At 36.3% G+C, this 20,611-nt stretch overlaps 1 protein-coding gene across 3 annotated transcripts in view; it reads right to left on the bottom strand.

The window, feature by feature from the left end:
* GABRB1 (gamma-aminobutyric acid type A receptor subunit beta1) overlaps nt 1–20,611 on the bottom strand; it is a 432,801-nt gene that overhangs the window by 87,914 nt on the left and 324,276 nt on the right. For all 3 annotated transcript variants that reach the window (XM_024453977.2, XM_024453976.2, NM_000812.4), the window contains one exon: nt 18,325–18,407. In XM_024453977.2, coding sequence (XP_024309745.1) covers nt 18,325–18,407 — 83 coding nt within the window. The remainder of the gene's footprint in view (nt 1–18,324; nt 18,408–20,611) is intronic.

Genomic DNA, 20,611 nt, shown 5'->3' with positions numbered 1-20,611 from the left:
TAGCCTGTGGACTTGACAAAAAAAGCACATTGGAATTTAATGCTTAGTTAAAATATCAACGAAAGGTTTCTCTAGTTACTGGTCAATGATCTAATTTCTAATAGTCTAAAACGCTTGAGAATGGCGTGGTGCATCTGTAAAAATGCTACTTTGGGAATGTAAGCTTTTGACGGACTAGGATGTAGTCATCTTGTCATCCTAAAAGTACTGATGGTGTCAGAAAAGGCATGTGCACAATGAACACTTGCAAGATGAAAGAATCAGAAACATCTGGGAACTTAGATAAATACAGCCAGGAAGAGTGAGACAAATAGCACTTTGTCATCAGTCAGCTCCAGAGCAAAGGAGAAGAGAGCTTTGATTTGATTGGTGATGTATAGAAAGATCAGCTTTTTAGGTGGAAGCCAAGAGATATGGAAGAAAATGGCTAGAATTGAAGAGGGGAAAGTGATGACGACATTGACAGCAGCAGTGACAATAATCACAGTGATGACAAATGTGAGAAAACTGAAGAGCAGGAGCATTCACAACTGTTACAGAAAGAAGTTGAAGCCGCTCAGAATTCTGGGGGAAGCAAATAGCTGATTGCCCTGTACTTTCATGACAGTTGTTACCCCCATTTATTGAGTAGTTAAAATGCAGTAAGGACTGTACTGGGCACTTTACATGATATTTTAATGACATCCCACAAGGATCTATCTTTTTTTTTTTTTTTTTTTTTTTTTAGACAGAGTCTGGCTCTGTCGCCCAGGCTGGAGTGCAGTGGCATGATGTCGGCTCACTGAAACCTTTGCTGCCCAGATTCAAGCAATTCTCCTGCTTCAGCCTCCCAAGTAGCTGGGATTACAGGTGTGTGCCACCAAACCTAGCTGATTTTTGTATTTTTAGTAGAGGCGGGGTTTCTACTAAACCTGCTTGCCAGGTTGGTCTCGAACTCCTGACCTCAAGTGATCCACCTGCCTCGGCCTCCCAAAGCGCAGGAATTATAGGTGTGAGCCACTGTGTCCGGCCAGATCTATGCATTCCTTATTCTGTCTTCAGTTCTTAGCCCTCCATGATTCCAAAACCCTCCTTTATGCCCACTGAGGCACACAGTCCATCAAAAGTAAAATCCCCATATCCTCAATGCTCTCATCCTCACCACCTCCTCTTATCAAAACCTTGCTCTCCCTTACAAACATAGCTTATCCACCAGCTCTCTGAAGTCCTAGCTGCTTTTTCTCCTACATCCCTGGTATTAGGCCTTGGAGTTATATGAAGTGACTCTTTGTCACTTCTTTCGGGGGATGGGGGGATGGAGTCTTGTTCTGCCACCTAGGCTGGAGTGCAGTGGAGCTATTTCAGCTCATGGCAACCTCTGCCTCCCAGGTTCAAGTGACTCTGTTTCTTATTGTCCCTTCCAGACTATTCTCCCTTACTCCTTCCTAAATTTGAATCTTATGTCATCTTACTGCTGTTGTCATCTGCCAATCCAAGGTTAATTATTCTCCTTTTTCTATGTTTGGCTTCTATTTCAACTTCAAACTCCTGTCTTAGTTCTTTGTGAATCCAATATACATGCGGATTATTTTTCTATACACCAGACTTTAAATTCCTTGGTCTCTGCAATGATCATTTCCTGCATTTCACCTCACCACTCACTCCCATCTCTAGACCTTGTTATGACCAATAACTGCATCACATCCAACTGGCTTATTAATTGGCCACTTTTTGACTGTGTCTTATCCCCCTCATAACTGTAATTATCTCCTGGTCTAGCTTCCATCCACTCCATTTAGACTTTCACTCCAGCACTCTGTGTTGCTAAATCCAATTGTCAGTTATCAGTTGTCATCCAACTTGCACTATCAGGGACATTTGTCCTAGGTGATCACTTCTTTTTCTAGAACATTTTTTTTTTACCTTGATTTCAAGCATACCCTTCTCTCCTAGGTTTTCTCCTATCTCACTGTCATCTCTTTTAGTTTGCAGATTTGGCTCTGCCACTTACTAGGTATGAACAAAGGCAAGTTAGCTATTGCCACTGTGTCTTGGCTTCTTCATTGGTAAATGGTAACAACACTTCCTCCTTGGAAAAATGGGAACGGTGGCACCTACTGATAGAGTTATGGTTGAGATTAAATGGGATATTATTTACAATGTGCTTGCACATAATCATTGCCATGCTTGTGTTTTCTATTATCTCCCCAACCTCTAGCACCGATTTGACCAAGACTAAGCACTTGGACCTCTTCTTGAGGTATACTAATTACCTTGGAAATGCCGTTCAGATTCATGGGTTTAAATATATCTACAAGATCATGACTTGTAAATTTATATTTCCAGATAGAATCTCTCCTCTGAACTCTAAACTTAGACTTTCACTTGATATCTCCACTTAAATGTCTAATTGATGATATAAATTTAAAATGTTAAACACTGATCTGGGCTCTACTTGCAGCTTTCTTCCACTTGGTCGATGGCATTTTCTCAGGGCTTTGATTTAGAAAGACCAGTTTACTTCTAAGTGTAGATCTTGAATGTCTAAAACAGAACTTATGACAAAAAGATGCTTCCCATGTGAATTCAGTCAGAGTAATGCATAAGTCTCAGAGCTGGTGTCCAGTGTCATCTTTGCCAGGTTTAAATCTTCTGTATTCATGCCTCCAAATACATTCAACATACATCTCACCTTGACCTACTCTTGGATTGCCCTTCTCATGGTCTTCGTGGCATGTGAACATGGTATCTGAGATTCAATCTAAGCATGCTTTTGCTTTAGTTTTTGCTACTTCTAGTCATGCTATCATCATAGCATTATTATTCATCTTCAAATGGAAAAAAAGAGAATTTTCAATGTTTGTTATGCATGAAATTCTCTGCAAAGTAAAACTTTAAGAAGAGTAACATTATAACCTGGTATCAACGTAGCAGAAGAATACTTCTTAAACTTCATTAAACTAGGAAGAAAATTTAGTTTTATTGTAACTGTACATACTGGTCAAGAAGCTGTGAAAATGTAGCAGAATCAGGCTTGTTCCTTTTATTATGCAACTAGATGAACAGTTGGAAGGAAATAATCAGATGGACAACAGGGAGAGTATCATCTTGCATTTGTTGGGGCAAATGGGAGGACACTTCCGAATATTTCCAATCTAAAATCAGATGACAATTATGTAACATACCTTCCCTCTACATATAACATGTACAAATTCAAAGAGGAAGATATAAAATAATGGCAACAACAACAAGAATAGGGGAGTTCATGTAGAAAACACTTATATATATATATAACTGGATACTGAGTGAATGCAGGTGACCCGTGAGAACCTATCGTTACTGCAGACAGGATGGAGGAAGGTAAAGAGGAGGTAGACATTCAGGATCTGGACCATGGCTGAGACCCTGAAGCTCACAATTCATGCTAAAACGATTACTGATTCCTAGTAAAGGGACTAGGTTACTTAAAATGAGAACTATGCCAGAAAAACACCTATGTCCTAAGTTGTAAAAATATGCCTAATGACTAAGATGGACTTTTCTACTGTTGACACATTAATTACATAGAGAGGTGATTCATCACTCTGCCCAGGAAGATATTACAAAAAGATAGGTTTTCAGGTCACTAAGAAGATCAGAGAACAAGTCCTTTACATCTGCCTTTAATTCATGTGAAGCTAGAGCTTTAACACATCATGAGAAACGCCCACAATTATGACCTTGAATCATCAAAAAAGGATAAATGCTTTTCAGAATTCTGTGTTGAGAAAGATTTACATCAAGAATAGTTTAAATAAAGTCGGGAAAACTTGTGCTCTCCAGAATGACTCATTAAATTGCAGACCTCTAGATAGCGGAGGTGTAAACTATGTGCTCCTTCTACTAAAAAATCTCTAGTTTCTGGACACAGAGTCAAATAAAATCAAATAGAGTGTTTAAAATTTTTTCTTTGTTAAAATAAGTCCTTTCTACATAGAAAATATTTGCCCAAATATTATTTTTAATGCGGGTTTAGGAGTATTAATGATACTATATTTCTGGAAGTCCTCCACACATAAGAAATGCCAGGAATGTTACTTAACAAAATTTGCTGTTCAGGTGTATGTATTTCAGGTAATTTGAAAAAGACTTTTCTGCCTCAGTTTATTTAAAACTCAAACTCTCTGATTCAAGGGCTGAGCAAACAGTGTGAAAAAAGCCTTTTAGCTAACCATTTAAATCACATTAGGAAGCAAACAGGCTGGGAAAATAGATTGAGGAGGACAGGTGAGACAGGCTTTTTAAAAAATTTTCTTAAAATTATTATTTATTTATTTACTTATTTATTTATGCTGACTCCAGATTTTGACTACTCAAAGTTGAGTCCATCAACCAACAGCATTAGTATCATCTGGGAAATGTTTGAAATACAGACTCTCAGGCCCCAGCTCAGGCTCACTAACTCAGAATCTGATTTTAGCAAGACCCTGAATGTTCGACAAGCACTGCAAGGTGCATCTCACACATGTTGTGTGATTCTGCTCTGATAGTGTCTAAGATGAGGGCAGGCAAGCCCTTGGCTCTATTCAGTGAAATTTTTTTGTCTACATTGTAGGTACACATAATCTAAATCCTGGGAATACAATTGATTTGGAATCAATGCAATAACGTACTAGGAGTTTTCTGAGAAATCTACCTTTTTACACAATCAAATGAGTACAGCCAGTACCTATAGGGCACAGTGTGGTGGGATGAAGATTAACACACAGAAATTATTCTTATATAATTTTTTATGTTTGAAAGAAATAGACTGTGCTTCATTTCTGTTTGACAAGCTATTCTTTTTTTTGGGGGGGTGGGGTGATGATGTTTCACACTGGTTGCCCAGGCTAGAGTGCAATGGCACGATTTTGGCTCACTGCAACCTCCATTTCCTGGGTTCAAGTGATTCTCCTGCCTCAGCCTTCTGAGTGGCTGGGATTACAGGTGTATGCCACCATGCCCAGCTAATTTTTGTATTTTTAGTAGAAATGGGGTTTCGCCAGGTTGGCCAGGCTGGTTTTGAACTTCTGACCTCAGGTGATCCACCTGCCTCAGCCTCCCAAAATGCTGGGATTACAGGCATGAGCCACTGTGCCCGGCCTGAGAAGCTATTGTAAAAACCGTTGTCTATTCATTCAAACATACATTTTAACTTGCTTTATTTCTTTTACATGGCAGAGAATGTTGCTAAAGTGGCTGATGACCATGTCTCTCCCAAGTATAGATAACTCCCCTTTCCATAGCATCATTATTCAAATTAATGTTTATTGGTCACATTCATATTAATACGTGGTGTGTATATATATATATATATATATATATATATATATATATATATAAATAAAATGGGTTTTAAATATATATGTATATATTTTTAAATATATAAATATAATATATATTATATAAATATATTTATAAATATATGAATATAAAAATATGTATATATTTTATATATATGAATTTTAAAAATAGATTAACATCTTGTAACAACTTGACTTCTTATTACATAGATTTGAATATTAAGCTGGAGCACTTAATTCTAATGTAAGGCAGGGTCCATTGGTCCACCTATTTCAAGGCATGCACTTTAGAGAGAAAAAATGGAGCCTTCTGCCAGAGGAAATAAAAGAAAGAATAGTTTACAATTTTTCCTTTGATCATTTCAGTGATTTCTTCCTTTGAAAATCATGTCATTTTCTGTTCTTTGCTGTACTTTATTTCATTTCTATGTTTCTATTCTGCTTTTTATTTAGAGAACTGGGTCTATTAAAAGAGGAGGTTAAAGTAAAAGAGAAGAGGAAAAAAAAACAATGCATGGCAACCTTAGAGCAGTGGCTGTCAAATGTGGCTGCATATTGGAATCAACTTGGAAGCTTAAAAAATTCTTGTGCTAGGACCCACCTTCCACAAATTCTGATGCTATTGGCCTGGGGTGGGGCATAGTATCAATAGTTTTTAAAAGCTCCCTTTAAAAGTCTTTCATCTTAAAGATAAGAATAATGTAACTTAAATGTGGAAATTGACACCTATATGGGAACTAAATTATATACTTGTTTCATTATTCGTATGTGGATGTTGTTCATAGAAAATCCAAGACCCCTCATAAGAATATGTCCATTTCCAAGGTTGTAGATGTTAATGCATATATATGAATAATAAATTGACTTTGAATATAGTGCCTGTTGCACTATAATTATGGATAATAAATGGACTTTGAAACTGTAGCACCATTGTTGTCAGGCCCAGCACCACACTGATGTGATTTGGGGGAATAGTATTGGTAGCCATTTAGAAGAGAAAGGGTTTCTGACCATTGTGTGATCTATTGCATTTATAGAAGTGATTTGGCAAAATAATTGTTATTCTAAAAGTATATGAATATTTGGTTTAACTGGCAAGAATGTCAAAAATAAAGCCTACTTAAGAACTGAATTGGGACAGATTCGGTGAGAGAGAAGGACCAATTAAAATGTGCTTTCTTCTCAGGTGTTTGCTTCCTGTCCAGATAGAGTACACCTAAAACCACCCAACTCACACCTAGTGGGGAAGCCAGAGAAAAAGGTTTTGTGAAGACAGTATTAAGAAGCAAGTTTTCTCAAGAGACTATAAGGGCTAAATCGTAGACTTGCCAGTCAGATTGACTGAGTTCAAATCTCATTCAAACCTCTACAGATTTTTGTCTTGAAGCTAGTTACTACCTTGATGGTTCGATTTTCTTCTTGTGAGAGAAATCAGTGGGGAATCTTTATAAAGTGCCTGGCCCATTAATAAATATTAGATATTGTTATTATCAAGTTTGGATCTCAAGTGAATCAAAAAGTTCCTTAGTTCAGCAAGGGTGTCCAGTATTAGAAGATCAAAGTTCCTGTATAAAATGTGTCTTTAAGTGTTTGGTTGTTTCCTAAAAGCTTTAGATTTTAAAAAATGAGCTTTATTTTACACTTCCTCTTTGGAATCTAGTTGCAAAATGGTCATCCATCATGACACCAATGGAAGAACAAACTTCCAGAATCTAAATCTGTAAATCTGAGATATTCTCATCAATCTACACAGCCGCTTGCCCATGGATGGAAAATAAACTGTCTGTAGTATAGAAGTGAACAACTATGAGGCTAACTTTATAGTCAAGTTGATTGCAAAACTAATTTTCATAAAAGGAACTCCATTCCCCCACTGGCTTTTATTTTATAACTTTGAAAGATCAGATACTTTTCAGAGAGAGTACTTTTTCACAGTTTCAAAGAAGCAGGCTGGAAAAAGGAATAAATTAATTCTGAAAAAATATTCCCTTCCTCTCTCCACCCACCCCTCTTCTCATCAAAAAAGCTACAGGCACTAAAATTCATTAACATTTCTATGAACATAAATGTGAAATATTCATTTTCATTAAGTAGTCTACTGAATATGGCAAAATCAGATTTATCTAAGGAGATATCCAATGCTGCTAATTTCCTTGACAATGGGGACATAAAGCAAAGGAAGTCATGAATCATTCATGAAGTTCAATTTACTTCTGTTATTTTTGGTGTTTTGCATCCATGAATAGAAAGTGTGCAGCATGTTGTAGATGCTGGTTTTACATTATTTCAGATCAGAACTAATGATTTGGCAGGCAGCAATAAAAGTAAGAATGGTTTAAAGGCTTTTGCTTGTAATTGTCCTATATTTCATGTTTTCCTTGTGAGTATTTACATGTTTATATATTCATATTTTTTTCTATATTCTAATTTCCTTTATAAATCAGGATCACTTTAGAATTAATATTTGAGATAGGCACAGAAAGCAATGTATTAGTGATGTAACTAAATTTAATAAACTCCCAGCAGTCTAGATTTTGAGGCTAAAAGAGACCTTGAAGTTTATAAAATTAAACTGGCCTCTCAATGAGGAATGTCTTCTATATTATTTCTGGTATGTGGCCATTTCTTATTAGTTGAAGTGTCTCTGTGGTAGGGGAAGTTCCTTCTTAAGCAGGGATCTATTTCATGAATGAACACTGCTGCTCATTGGAGAGTCTCTTAACTTCTAAATCTACCTTCTTGCAGCTTCTGACTATTGTCTACTTGTTGCTGCTATATCACCAGCACTTAGTAGTACAAAGAGCCACATATCGCTACTTAAGAAGTGCTAGTTGAATTAAATGGAATTGAATGGGTTCAAATCTAGCATTTCTAGATGTGCTGGTTAACTTTATGTGTCAACTTGGCTGGATCACGAGGTGTCCAGTAGTCAAATATTATTCTGGGTGTTCCTGTGAGGGTGTTTTTGGAGGAGATTAACATTTAAATCAGTAGACTGAATAAAGCAGCTTGCCCCCCACAACGTGGGTGAGCGTCATCCAACCAGTTGAAGGCCTGAGTTGAACAAATAAACTGACTCTCCCCTGAGTAAGAGACAATTCCTCCTGTCTGACTACCCTGAAACTGACACATCAGGTTTTTTCCTGCTTTTGAACTCAAATGGAAACATCAGTACTTCCTAGGTCTTGAGTCTGTTAGGTCTTCAGACTAGAGTTACGCTATCAATTCTGGTTCTCAAGCCTTTGGACTGGGACTGGAATTACACCATTGGCTCTCTAGTTGGCTGACTCACTCTGTAGATCTTGAGATCGTCAGCCTCCATAATTGCGTGAGCCAATTCCTTATAATAAATCTGTCTTTCTCTCTCTTTCTTATTTCTCACTCGCTCTCTATATATAGATATATATCTTATCTGTACTTTACCTATCTTTCTCTCTCTCTCTGTATATATATCTATATACATGTATTGGTATATAATATATACTATTATATATGTAGTGGTATTGATAGCTATGTATCATATATATGATATCTATATATAGAGATAAGATACATATATATTTTATATATATCATATACCAATATTTATATGTATATATGTGGGATATATAGACAGACAGAGAGCAAGAGAGAGAGAGGGAATAGTATTGGTAACCATTTAGAATGGAAAGGCTTCTATTCTAAATATATATATATTTCTAAATGTATACATTTCTAAAAATATGTAAATATATATTCTCTATATTCTTTATATATGCTATATATTCCATATATATGTATGTGCTATATATGTCCTATTGGCTTGATTGGCTGTATTTTACATTAAATTATATATTTTATATTATACATTATATATTTTATTCTGTATAAAATACAGCCAATAGGATATGTTTAGCCTACTGGCTCTATTTCTCTGAAGAACTATGAATAACACACTGGGCAACTCTGATCATAGTTTCATCTGCTATATGATAGCACGTTAAAACATTCAGAATGTCTGCTATGCCTTCTTATATTTTTCTTACAGATATCTTGGTCTCCTCTTTCTGAATGAAATTACCTTAAAATGGCATTAAAAACTGGACTTAATTCTCCAGATGTGACCATTCAAGGGCAGACTTTTATAGAACTACTCATGTCTTATGTCTGAAAACTATACTTTAAAAATTTTATTTCCAGTTGTTAATGTAGTGCTTTACTTGAATAAAACTTAATATTTCAATTCTGCAAACCTCCCATTTTCTCAGAACAATTTCCATATCTAAGCTAGGCCATTTTATAACACTAGGTGGACAGATATTTCTTTTTTTTTTTTTATTATACTTTAAGTTTTAGGGTACGTGTGCAAAACGTGCAGTTTAGTTACATATGTATACATGTGCCATGTTGGTGTGCTGCACCTGGTAACTCGTCATTTAACATTAGGTATATCTCCAAAGGCTATCCCTCCCCGCTCCCCCCTCCCCACAACAGGCCCCAGTGTATGATGTTCCCCTTCCTGTGTCCATGTGTTCTCATTGTTCCATTCCCACCTATGAGTGAGAACATGCGGTGTTTGGTTTTTCGTCCTTGTGATAGTTTGCTGAGAATGATGGTTTCCAGCTTCATCCATGTCCCTACAAAGGATATGAACTCATCATTTTTTATGGCTGCATAGTATTCCATTGTGAATACGTGCCACATTTTCTTAATGCAGTCTATCATTGTTGGACATTTGGGTTGGTTCCAAGTCTTTGCTATTATGAATAGTGCCGCAATAAACATGCGTGTGCATGTGTCTTTATAGCAGCATGATTTATAAAACCCTAGAAGAAAACCTAGGCAAGACCATTCAGGACATAGGCATGGGCAAGGACTTCATGTCTAAAACACCAAAAGCAATGGCAACAAAAGACAAAATTGACAAATGGGATCTCATTAAACTAAAGAGCTTCTGCACAGCAAAAGAAACTACCATCAGAGTGAACAGGCAACCTACAGAATGGGAGAAAATTTTTGAAATCTACTCATCTGACAAAGGGCTAATATCCAGAATCTACAATGAACTCAAACAAATTTACAAGAAAAAAAACAAACAACCCCATCAAAAAGTGGGCAAAGGATATGAACAGACACTTCGCAAAAGAAGACATTTATGCAGCCAAAAGACACATGAAAAAATGCTCATCATCACTGGCCATCAGAAGAATGCAAATCAAAACCACAATGAGACACCATCTCACACCAGTTAGAATGGCGATCATTAAAAAGGCAGGAAACAACAGGTGCTGGAGAGGAAGTGGAGAAATAGGAACACTTTGACACTGTTGGTGGGACTGTAAACTAGTTCAACCATTGTGGAAGTCAGTGTGGCGATTCCTCAGGGATCTAGAACTAGAAATACCATTTGACCCAGATATTTCTTATCACATGCTATTTTTGTAGACAAGAAAATAATTTTATTTTGGAAATAATTAAATATGACTATTGCTTTACATTCTGTGTACATGTTGTTACTATCAAGATATTTATATAAAGACAATGACAATCTTCTGAGAGTTAAACAGATGGATTAAGTGGATAGTTCATTAAATTAAATACATACGACAAGGACTAGGTTAAAAGTTATCAAACCATTTTTTAAAACAAGAAACCAGTGTAAAAGTAACCAGGTGTCACTAAGTGTTACCTTTGTCTGAAAACTTGGTCATAGTGTAAGTAGGAAGAACATAGTTAATGCCTTATGATAAAACAACAACAAAAAAATTCATAGTTTCATTACACTTACCACCCTTCAAAATTCCTAAAGTAATATAAATGTTAGATCTTTCCTTACCTGGCTGTTGGTTAACACTTTTATAATTTTTGAAATAGTTTTTTTTTTCTTTTTTTCTTTTAAGAGATCCTACTCTTTTTTTTTTTTCTTTTAAGCGATACGGTTTCACTATGTTGCCCAGGCTGGACTCAAACTCCTGGAGTCAAGTGATCCTCCCAGCTCAACCTCCCAGATAGTTGGGACTACAGGCCCATGCCATCGTGCCCAGCTGAGATGGTCTTAAAACATGAATATAAAATTATACAAATGAAAGACTGTATAAAGTATATAAATGAATGTATAAATGAAATGATATTTTATTGCAAGTAAAAATATCCTTCTTAAATCTCATCTGAAAAAATTAAACTAGACTTATATTCTAAAAGTCAAATGACTTGAAAAGTTTGAAGCCAAGAAATTTAGCATACATTCACTACACAAATATTTATTTTCAGGTACTAGACTAGGTTTAGTGATTGAATGGTGAGCAAAACAATGATCCCTTCCCTCACAGGAAGTTTATAATCTATGGGGGAAAGAAACAACAAGCATGGAAACAAATACTACTATGATATAGATGTCTCAGTTCATTTGGATTGCTATGACAAAATGCCGTAAACTGGGTAATTTATGAATAACAGCCATTTATTTCTCATAGTTATATAGGCTGGGAAGTCTAAGATCAATGTACTGGCAGATTTTAGTGTCTGGTGAGGGCTCACTTTCTGGTTCATAAAAGGTAACTTCTAGCTGTGTCCTTATATGGTGGAAGGGGCAAGGTAGATCTCAGGGCTTCTTTTATAAGAGCACTGTAGTAGTTTTTCCTTACGTTCAGGAGATATATTCCAAGACCCTCAGTAGATATATGAAATTGCAAATAGTACCAAACCCTACATATACTATGTTTTTTCTATATGTACATATTTATGATAAAGTTTAATTTGTAAATTAGGCACAGTATGAGATTAACAATAATTAATAATGAAATAGAATAGTTATAAAAATATAATGTAATAAAAGTTACATGAATGTGATCTCTCTCACTCAAAATATCTTATTGTACTGTCCTCACCCTTCTTCTTGTAATGTGAGATGATACAATGCCTGCATGATGAGATAAAATGAGGTGAATGACGTAGGCACTGTGACATAGCTTTTGGTTACTATTGATCTTCTGAAGATATATCAAAGGGAGCATCATCTGCTTTGGGTGATCCTGGATCATCAAGCCATGATGATGTCAGGAGCAGATGGTGTCAATGATTAATAGGTAGGAAGTATAGACAGCATATACATGTGGATACACTGGATAAAGGGATGATTTATGCCCCAGTCAGGACAGAGCAGGATCGTAGGCGATTTCATCATGCTCCAATCAAGGGTATAATTTAAAACTGATGAAAGTTTATTTCTGGAATTTTCCATTTAATATTTTCAGACAAAAAGCAAAACTGTAAATAAGTGGGGACTACTGTTTTCCCATTCATGAGGACTCTGCCCTTGTGATCTAATCACCTCCAAAAGCTACATTTCTTAATATCATTATATTGGGGGCTAGGTTTCAACATATGAATTTTTGAGGGATACAAACTTTCAGACAATAGCAATGGGAAACTAAAAAAGAATTTTGAAAGAGAATAACTACTGGTTCCTAACTTAGATTGGAGGAGTCTCAAGAAAGCCTCCTATCGAAGGTGGCATGTGAGGTGAGGACTGAAGGATGAGAAGAGGAAGCCAAAAGAACTATGGTGGGGAAAAGCATTTCAGCCAGAAGAAACGAGAAAGTTATGATGATGGGATATGAGAAAATATGGTCTGCCAGAAACAAAGTCTATTGTGCTGGAGTAATGTATACAGTAAGCAAGAGGAAAATGATGACAGATGGGATTCAAGATAATGAGGAAGATAATGAGGAAGGTCAAGTCACACAAGAGCTTGAAGATCAAGTTAAGAAGTGGACAGTTTTACCAGTGTAGTGGGAAGTCTTTGATTTTTTTTTTTTTTTGAGATGGAGTCTGAGGCTATCCCTCAGGCTGGAGTGCAATGGTGCCATCTCAGCTCACTGCAACCTCTGCCTCCCAAGTTCAAATGATTCCCCTGCCTCAGCCTCCCAAGTAGCTGGGATTACAGGCATGTGCCACCATGCCCTGCTAATTTTTGTATCTTTAGTAGAAACGGGGTTTCACCATGTTGGCCAGGCTGGTCTTGAACTCCTGACCTTGTGATCTGCCTGCCTCGGCCTCCCAAAGTGTTGGGGTTACAGGCGTGAGCCACTGCAACTGGCCTGAATATTTTAAAGCAGAGAAATAATATGACCCAATTTACATCTTGCAAAGATCACTGTGGCTGCTGGGCAGAAATTGGGTTAGAGGGAGTCAAAAGTGAAAGCAAGAAGACTGTAAAAGGCAGCTACAATGGTCCAGGTAAAAAGTAATGATAGTTTGGAAAAGACTGGTGGCAATAGAGCGGGGGAGAAATGGACGGGCCTGATAAATATTTTGCAAGTAGAATAGATGATACTTGCAATAGAACGGATCAGCGGAGTTTGAGAGAAATGGAGCTGTTAACAATTAATCCCAGGATTATGGTCGGATAGTGAGATTAAAGTGACTGAGGAAGAAATTCATTTGAAAGGGAAAAATCAAGAATAAAGTTTTGAGCAAATTAAACTCAAGATGCCTTTGAAACATCAAAACAGACATGCCAAGAAGAGTGCTAGTACATCAATCTGGGGCTCAGAAGAGATCTCAGTTGGAGATATAAATCTGAGAGCCACAGCATAAGATTGAATGTAAAGAGGTCCTTTGTGACCTTTCTGAGAACAGTTTTAGCAGAGGCGGGAGGTGGGTAGGCAGGTGCCAGATTGCAGTGGGTTGAAAGGAAGTTGAGGCAATAGACAACAGATATAGATTATCCTTTCAAGTACTTTGGAGAAAAAGAAAGAGAGATTAGGAAAAAACCTTCAGGGAAATGTGGGGATAGAGTGGAGGTGTTTTAAGATGAGAAGAGTTTTCAGCTTGTTTACAGGCTGTGAGAAAAGAGGTAGACAGGGCAGGATTGAGGATCTGAGAGCTCAGGGGTGAGGTATGTGTGTGGACTAGAGATAATCAATTTCCAGAGGAGGAAGAAAGAGATGGAATTCTAAGCACAGCGGGCAGGGCCAGCCTAAGAAAGGAATAGAAACACATCTTCCTGTGAAATACAGAGAACTAACTCGGAATGGTGGTGAAGAATAAGAAAGTTTAAAGAAGATAAGTGAAAATGAGAGATTTCAGGCCTGAAATGGCTTTTTCTTTTATTATTATTATTTTGGTGTGGTGAGGTGACAACATCTACTGTAAATGAGTGGATGAGATTAAGGTCCGGATCTTTTTTAATCTGCACTACCTGATTCCTTCATCATTATTACTCCAAGCTCTTTCCACATCCATGATGCTTGTGGCTATCAAACCCTCACATGATACTGCTATTGATTTCAAATTCCAAATACGCTTTAGACTAAATTCCTTGATTGATTTTTGTATATGCCATTAACTCCTTTTATAGCATCCCAGGGCTACAGAGCTATTAATCTGCTCCAAGTTCAAGCAAACTTTCAATTTAACAAGCCTTTATGGCTTTTTCAATTTTACTTGATTAGATGACATCAAGTTAAACAAAACATCTTTAATTTGTCTCAAAGGACCCAACCAAGGAAAACATTTTGCCAGCCTTGAGATTGTGATGGGAGAGCATACGAACTAGTGGATTTTGTGATGCAGGCAAAGTTTCCACTCTGTTGGTCACAAACGTACGATTGGTTCAATCTTACATCAGTGGGATGTCTACCTTATCATTCTTATTTCCCGACTGACACTAGAGCCTCTCATTTGTAATCACTTTAAGGCTCAGTATAGTCTTGATACACTGTCAAGTCAGAAAGAGCTGTTTCAGAAAATAACACGTTTCTTTGTGAAAAGTTAAAAAAATACATGAATAATCTATTCAGTATTTATTAAAACCTAGCAACATATTGATTATGTACTTAGGTAGAAACAAGCAAAGCTCATTGAAACTCCACATTGGCATATGCTAATTCACTTTTTAAAATTATTATTCTTAACATTTAGGAACTCTACATTGGTTTATCTATTGTTAATAAGGGATTCATTTTAAGTAAAATGTTGAAGTTAAATTATGCTGTCATCAGAAGCTTCTCTTTTTAAGGGTAACATCAATAGAATCAAGGCCTGCCTGGTTTTCTGCATCCACAAGCTACCTTCTCTCTGTAGCTGCAATTGTTTGACCCTTGATCTAAAAGCAACATTCAGCTTCTGGGATCTATACTGAACTTTATCAGGGATAGTTTAGGAAATACAGACCAGTCTTTGGTTGAGTCAGCATTTCCAACCTAGCCAAGAGTGTTTCCAGTTAACACTATACTTCTAATTATTATTATTATTGTTGTTGTTGTTGTTGTTGTTGTTGTTTTGAAATGGAGTCTCACTCTGTCACACAGGCTGGAGTGCGGTGGCGTGATCTCAGCTCACTGCAACCTCTGCCTCCCAGGTTCAAGCAATTCTCCTGTCTCAGCCTCCTGAGTAGCTGGTACTACAGGTGCATGCCAGCACCCAGCTAATTTTTGTATTTTTAGTAGAGATGGGGTTTCACCATATTTGTCAGGCTGGTCTCGAACTCCTGACCTCAGGCGATCCACCCTTCTTGGCCTTCCAAAGTGCTGGAATTACAGGTGTGAGCCGCCGTGACAAACCTATACTTCTAATTATTGATGCCATGGTCCCTTACGCACCTGTTGATTCAGGATTCCATGATGAAGAGAAGAACACTTGGGCTTGAATTCTTACTCCATTACTTTTTTTGCCCTGTGACTCTGGGTAAGTCATTTTACTTCTTTGAGCCTCAAGTATATCATCTCTCAAGTGTTGTTACAAATACTTATGTCACAAAGGTGTTATATAATACCCAGCTTTAGTCATGCAAATCTTTCTCCTAAGTTCCTGCCTCTGTAGACTCCTCATTATCCAAATTCTTACAGTCAAGAGTTTTTGCTTTGTTTTAGGTAAGTATCTAGGAATTGTAGTTCTGTGACCAGCTGCTGGATCACTTTGATGATAATTACCATCTTTTCAAATTTGTACATATTAGCTTATTTTAGTGTCTCAGTTACTGTGTTCATCTATATGTCTAGACAACTAGTTGCATCTTGCTAAACTGCCTCAATGATTGTCATATGCCTGGGTCACCACCTATTATCTGACATCATATTTGATGATTACTTTGGGCTATCTGGGTGCCTGGGCTTCCCTCATCCCTTCCCCACAAAAGTTACATTTAATTTCTGCTTCATTTATAGTTTTGATCATTATATGTTATATTAAATGGACTTAAAGTCATCTTTTAAAAATATGATTAAAGAAATCTTCAAACTTAAAGAAAAATATCAACCTATAATAGAAAAACTCAGTATCCATCATAAATAAAATATGCATTTTGGGAGAAAGTGTTGATAATTTTAGAACTTACAATTTACAACACAGAATCAATTTCAAGTATTTGTCAAAATTCACTGCTCCTTTAAGCAAATGATACAATTCATAAGGTCTTGGAATTTCAAGAGGTTGCTGTATGTCAATATTCTCCAGCAGAAGCCAAGGTAAAAAAATCACAAAGTCAATGGAAGAGTGCTCAAGGGTAACAAACAACTAATATGTATGGGAAATCCATGAGTTATCCTTCTCTTTCTATATCAGTTCCAAAAGTAATGATTTACTTGTCGAACTAATGTTCTGCCTTATTTATAAAATGTTATTAGCTACTAGTATATGATTGGGTTTACATAGTTCATTCCTATGATTTGAATGTGGTCATTTTTGATATCTGAACCAAAAGTTACCATCAATACTTTATATATAAACACCTTTCAATACTTAATAACTTCTTTATATGATGAGATTTAAAATTAGAATATTGATTAGAGAATATTTCATGAATTTTCTTGTTCATTCTAGGTTTTAGTGGTAGTAGGTCAATGTCTATGTGTAAACTTGTAATTATATCTACATTAACACCTTCATCTATTTCCATATATACAGTGGAACTAGAAAGTTAATGTAATTGCTCAGTAATGAGACACTACTCTTCAACAATACTATAGAATCACCTGGAATTTTTCCATTTTCCTTTACTTTCTTAATGTTTAGATCTAGAAAGTATTTTAGACTATCTAAATAAACATCTGTCAATTTCTAACATTACATTAAGTGGTACTATAGTAATGTTCTGATTAGCTACTGCATTTTTTTGCACCTCTGAAAACCAAGAAATGGCTTAGCTTTGGTATTCACAATTAATGGTCTCAAATACCTATAGGCTGATGGCTGAGAAATAATCACAAAAAGATAGTCAATCAGACTAAATCTTCATGACTAAAATATTTGAATTGTTAAGAAAGCGCCATCCTGGCTAACAAGATGAAACCTCGTCTCTACTAAAAATACAAAAAATTAGCTGGGCGTGGTGGCGGGCGCCTATAGTCCCAGCCAGTCTGGAGGCTGAGGCAGGAGAATGGCGTGAACCCGGGAGGCGGAGATTGCGGTGAGCGGAGATGGCGCCACTACACTCCAGCCTGGGCGACAGAGTGGGACTCCGTCTCAAAAAAAAAAAAAAAAAGAAAAAAGAAAAGAAAACAATCAGTGAAAAAGCAGCCCAAGAGGACAAACGAAAATTAGTCACTAGACTTAAAAACCATTAAGTCTTTGGCACAAAGCATAAGCCCCATGAGTGCAATTTATCATCTTTTTCTTTTCATGAGGAAAGACACATTATTCACACAAGACACCAACATAATGTTTTTCTAAAAGACAATTTACAATAGTTTAGGTCAACAGATGATAGAACCCAAAACAATCTCACAAACTCTTTTCATATTAAAATGTCTTTCCTTTCTTTTTAATGCAGCTTGGATATTGGAAGGCTTTGGGAGAAACTACGTTCTGAGAAGGAGAAAGTATGAGTTTATAAATTGTTGAGCTAAAATAAGTGAACTTTCCCTAATTGTTCAAAATGATAACTTCATTGAAATGACCCTTGAGCTACCAATATAAACCCTTTGAAAACTTATCAGGCAAGCGCAGCTAGAAAATCCTGGTGCTAATTAACTCAGTGAGAAGTTGAATTCAACTGGGTCAAGGAAGAATCCCTCTTTTTCATTCCCCTGTCCAAGTAACTCACAACTTTCGATCTCCAGGGTGCAGTTCTGCTCATCCAATGGATATCTTCGAAGATCCATCATACATGCAGCTGTGGTTGTGATTCTGATAGAGAGGAGAGAGAAAAAAGAAAACATTACAAAAGTGATGACATTTCATTTCCAGGCTTCCTAGCCCCAAATCATGTTTACCAGTTGGCAGAAACAAGGCATCAAAATTTTGTGAGATTTTAAGAAACTATTATGAATAATTATACGTCAACAAATTGGATAATCTAGATGGACAGGTGGAAATGGATAAATTTCTAAAAACATACAACCTACCCAAACTGTGTCAATAATAAATAGAAATCTGAACAAACCAATAACGAACAAGGAGAGTGAATCAGTGATTAAAAACTTTCCAACAAAGAAAAGCCCAGGGCCAGATGGTTTCATGGATGAGGTCTACCAAACATTCAGAGAAGAACTAATATTAACCTTTCTTAAACTGTACCACAAAATAGAATAGGGAAAACTGCCAAATTCATTTCATGAGGCCAGCTTCACTCTAATTCCAAAGCCAGACACACAATACAAGAAATGAATAGTACAGGCCAATATCCCTGATGGAATTAGATGCAAACATTCTCAATAAAATACTAGCAAATGAAATTCAACAGCATGTCAAAACAATATACACCATGACCCAGTGGGATTTATTACTGGGATGCTAGGATGGATATGCAACAATCAACAACACATACAAATCAATCAATGTGATACAACATATTAATAAAATAAAGACCACACTATCATCTCAATAAATACAGAAAAATTAAAGCTTTTCCTCTAAGATCTGGAAGAAGGCAAGAGTGCTCACTCTTGGCCCTGCTAGTCAACATGGTACTGAACTCCCAGAGAGAGGGAGAGAGATTATGCATATATATACAAGTAAATGTATATGTAAATATATCAGTGTGTGTATGTATATACACACTTATACAGTATACTGTAGTACAGTACATATGCTGTGTACATAAAGTACTACAGTATATTCAGAGCCCTTTCATTTGAAAAAATAAAATGGAAAACAACACAAATGCCCACAAAAGGATGATTAGAAAATGAATTATGGCATTTCCACACAATTGTAGTACATTTTTAAGGATAGCTTATTATTTATTAATACAGAAGCAAATTCATGATGCATCGTTAAATAAAATAAGCAAGGTGCAGAGTAGTGTGTGTGGTAGGCTACTATCTTGAGAGGTTTTCTCCCTAAGAAGACACAGCTGTGCTTCTATTTGCATAGAGTATTTTTAGAAAATTTCAAATTGTAGCTCCTGGAGATTAAGATAAAAAAGAAACCATTTAATTTGAATTTTTGTGTTGTTTAACTTATGATTACACTTTATGGGGAGGACCGTTACATTTTTAAAAGTTCTTTGTCAATTCAAAAGTGAATCAAAAACTTGTAAATGTGGACTCACCATCTGAATTTTAGTTACTCTCACACTTCACTGACCAGAAAAACATCCCAGGCAAGAGAAAATGGAGAGATAATGAAGTCCAGATAGGATATGTAGAGTTAGGGTCCTTGAGTTTGAATAAACACAAAAGCTCAACTGGGAGTGGTGAATATGGTATGAACTCTCATCCTAGGATAGTGTTTCTTCCCTGCTTATATGCTACCTGCTGAATGTAAGTGGACCAGAGTTTCAGAGATAAATCTTACAAATCTCTCTAATAGTGGGAAGTGTGAGGCACCATCAGTCACAGAAGGCTGGTTTTGTTGTTGTTGTTGATGATGATGATGATGATGTTGTATTTTGCTGCAGCAAGAGAGGAAGATATGCTTTTATGTATAACGTAGATTCCTCCCATTCACAAATTCTGCAGATAGTAGCACAGACATTGCTAAGGTGATAATAAAAATGGAAAGGGTCATGAGATAATAACAGCTATAATAGTGATCATCATTTGGGGAGCACTTCTTAAGTATGGGGCACTGGGCTAAAAGCTTTGCATACATTATCTCTTTTAATTCTCACAGCAATGCTGTGTAGTAGGTGCTTTGATTAATGAGAGGACTGAGCTGCAAAAAGATAATTTAATTAATGCAAACTCACACCACTTATGGGCAACAAAGTTAAGACTCAAACTCAATCTGCCTATCTTTAAAATTTTTAGTCACAAAATATTTTAATAGCTTTACTGGGATATCATTAAAATATGGCTATTGCAAATGATAAATTTGTTACGTAAGTTATGAAAGTAATGTAATCCTCAACAAATATTAGCAAACTAAATTCAATAGCACATTAAAAG

The sequence above is a fragment of the Homo sapiens genome, chromosome 4 (assembly GCF_000001405.40).
Source record: "Homo sapiens chromosome 4, GRCh38.p14 Primary Assembly".
Lineage (NCBI taxonomy): Eukaryota > Metazoa > Chordata > Mammalia > Primates > Hominidae > Homo > Homo sapiens.
This window is presented reverse-complemented; position numbering and strand designations above follow the sequence as displayed.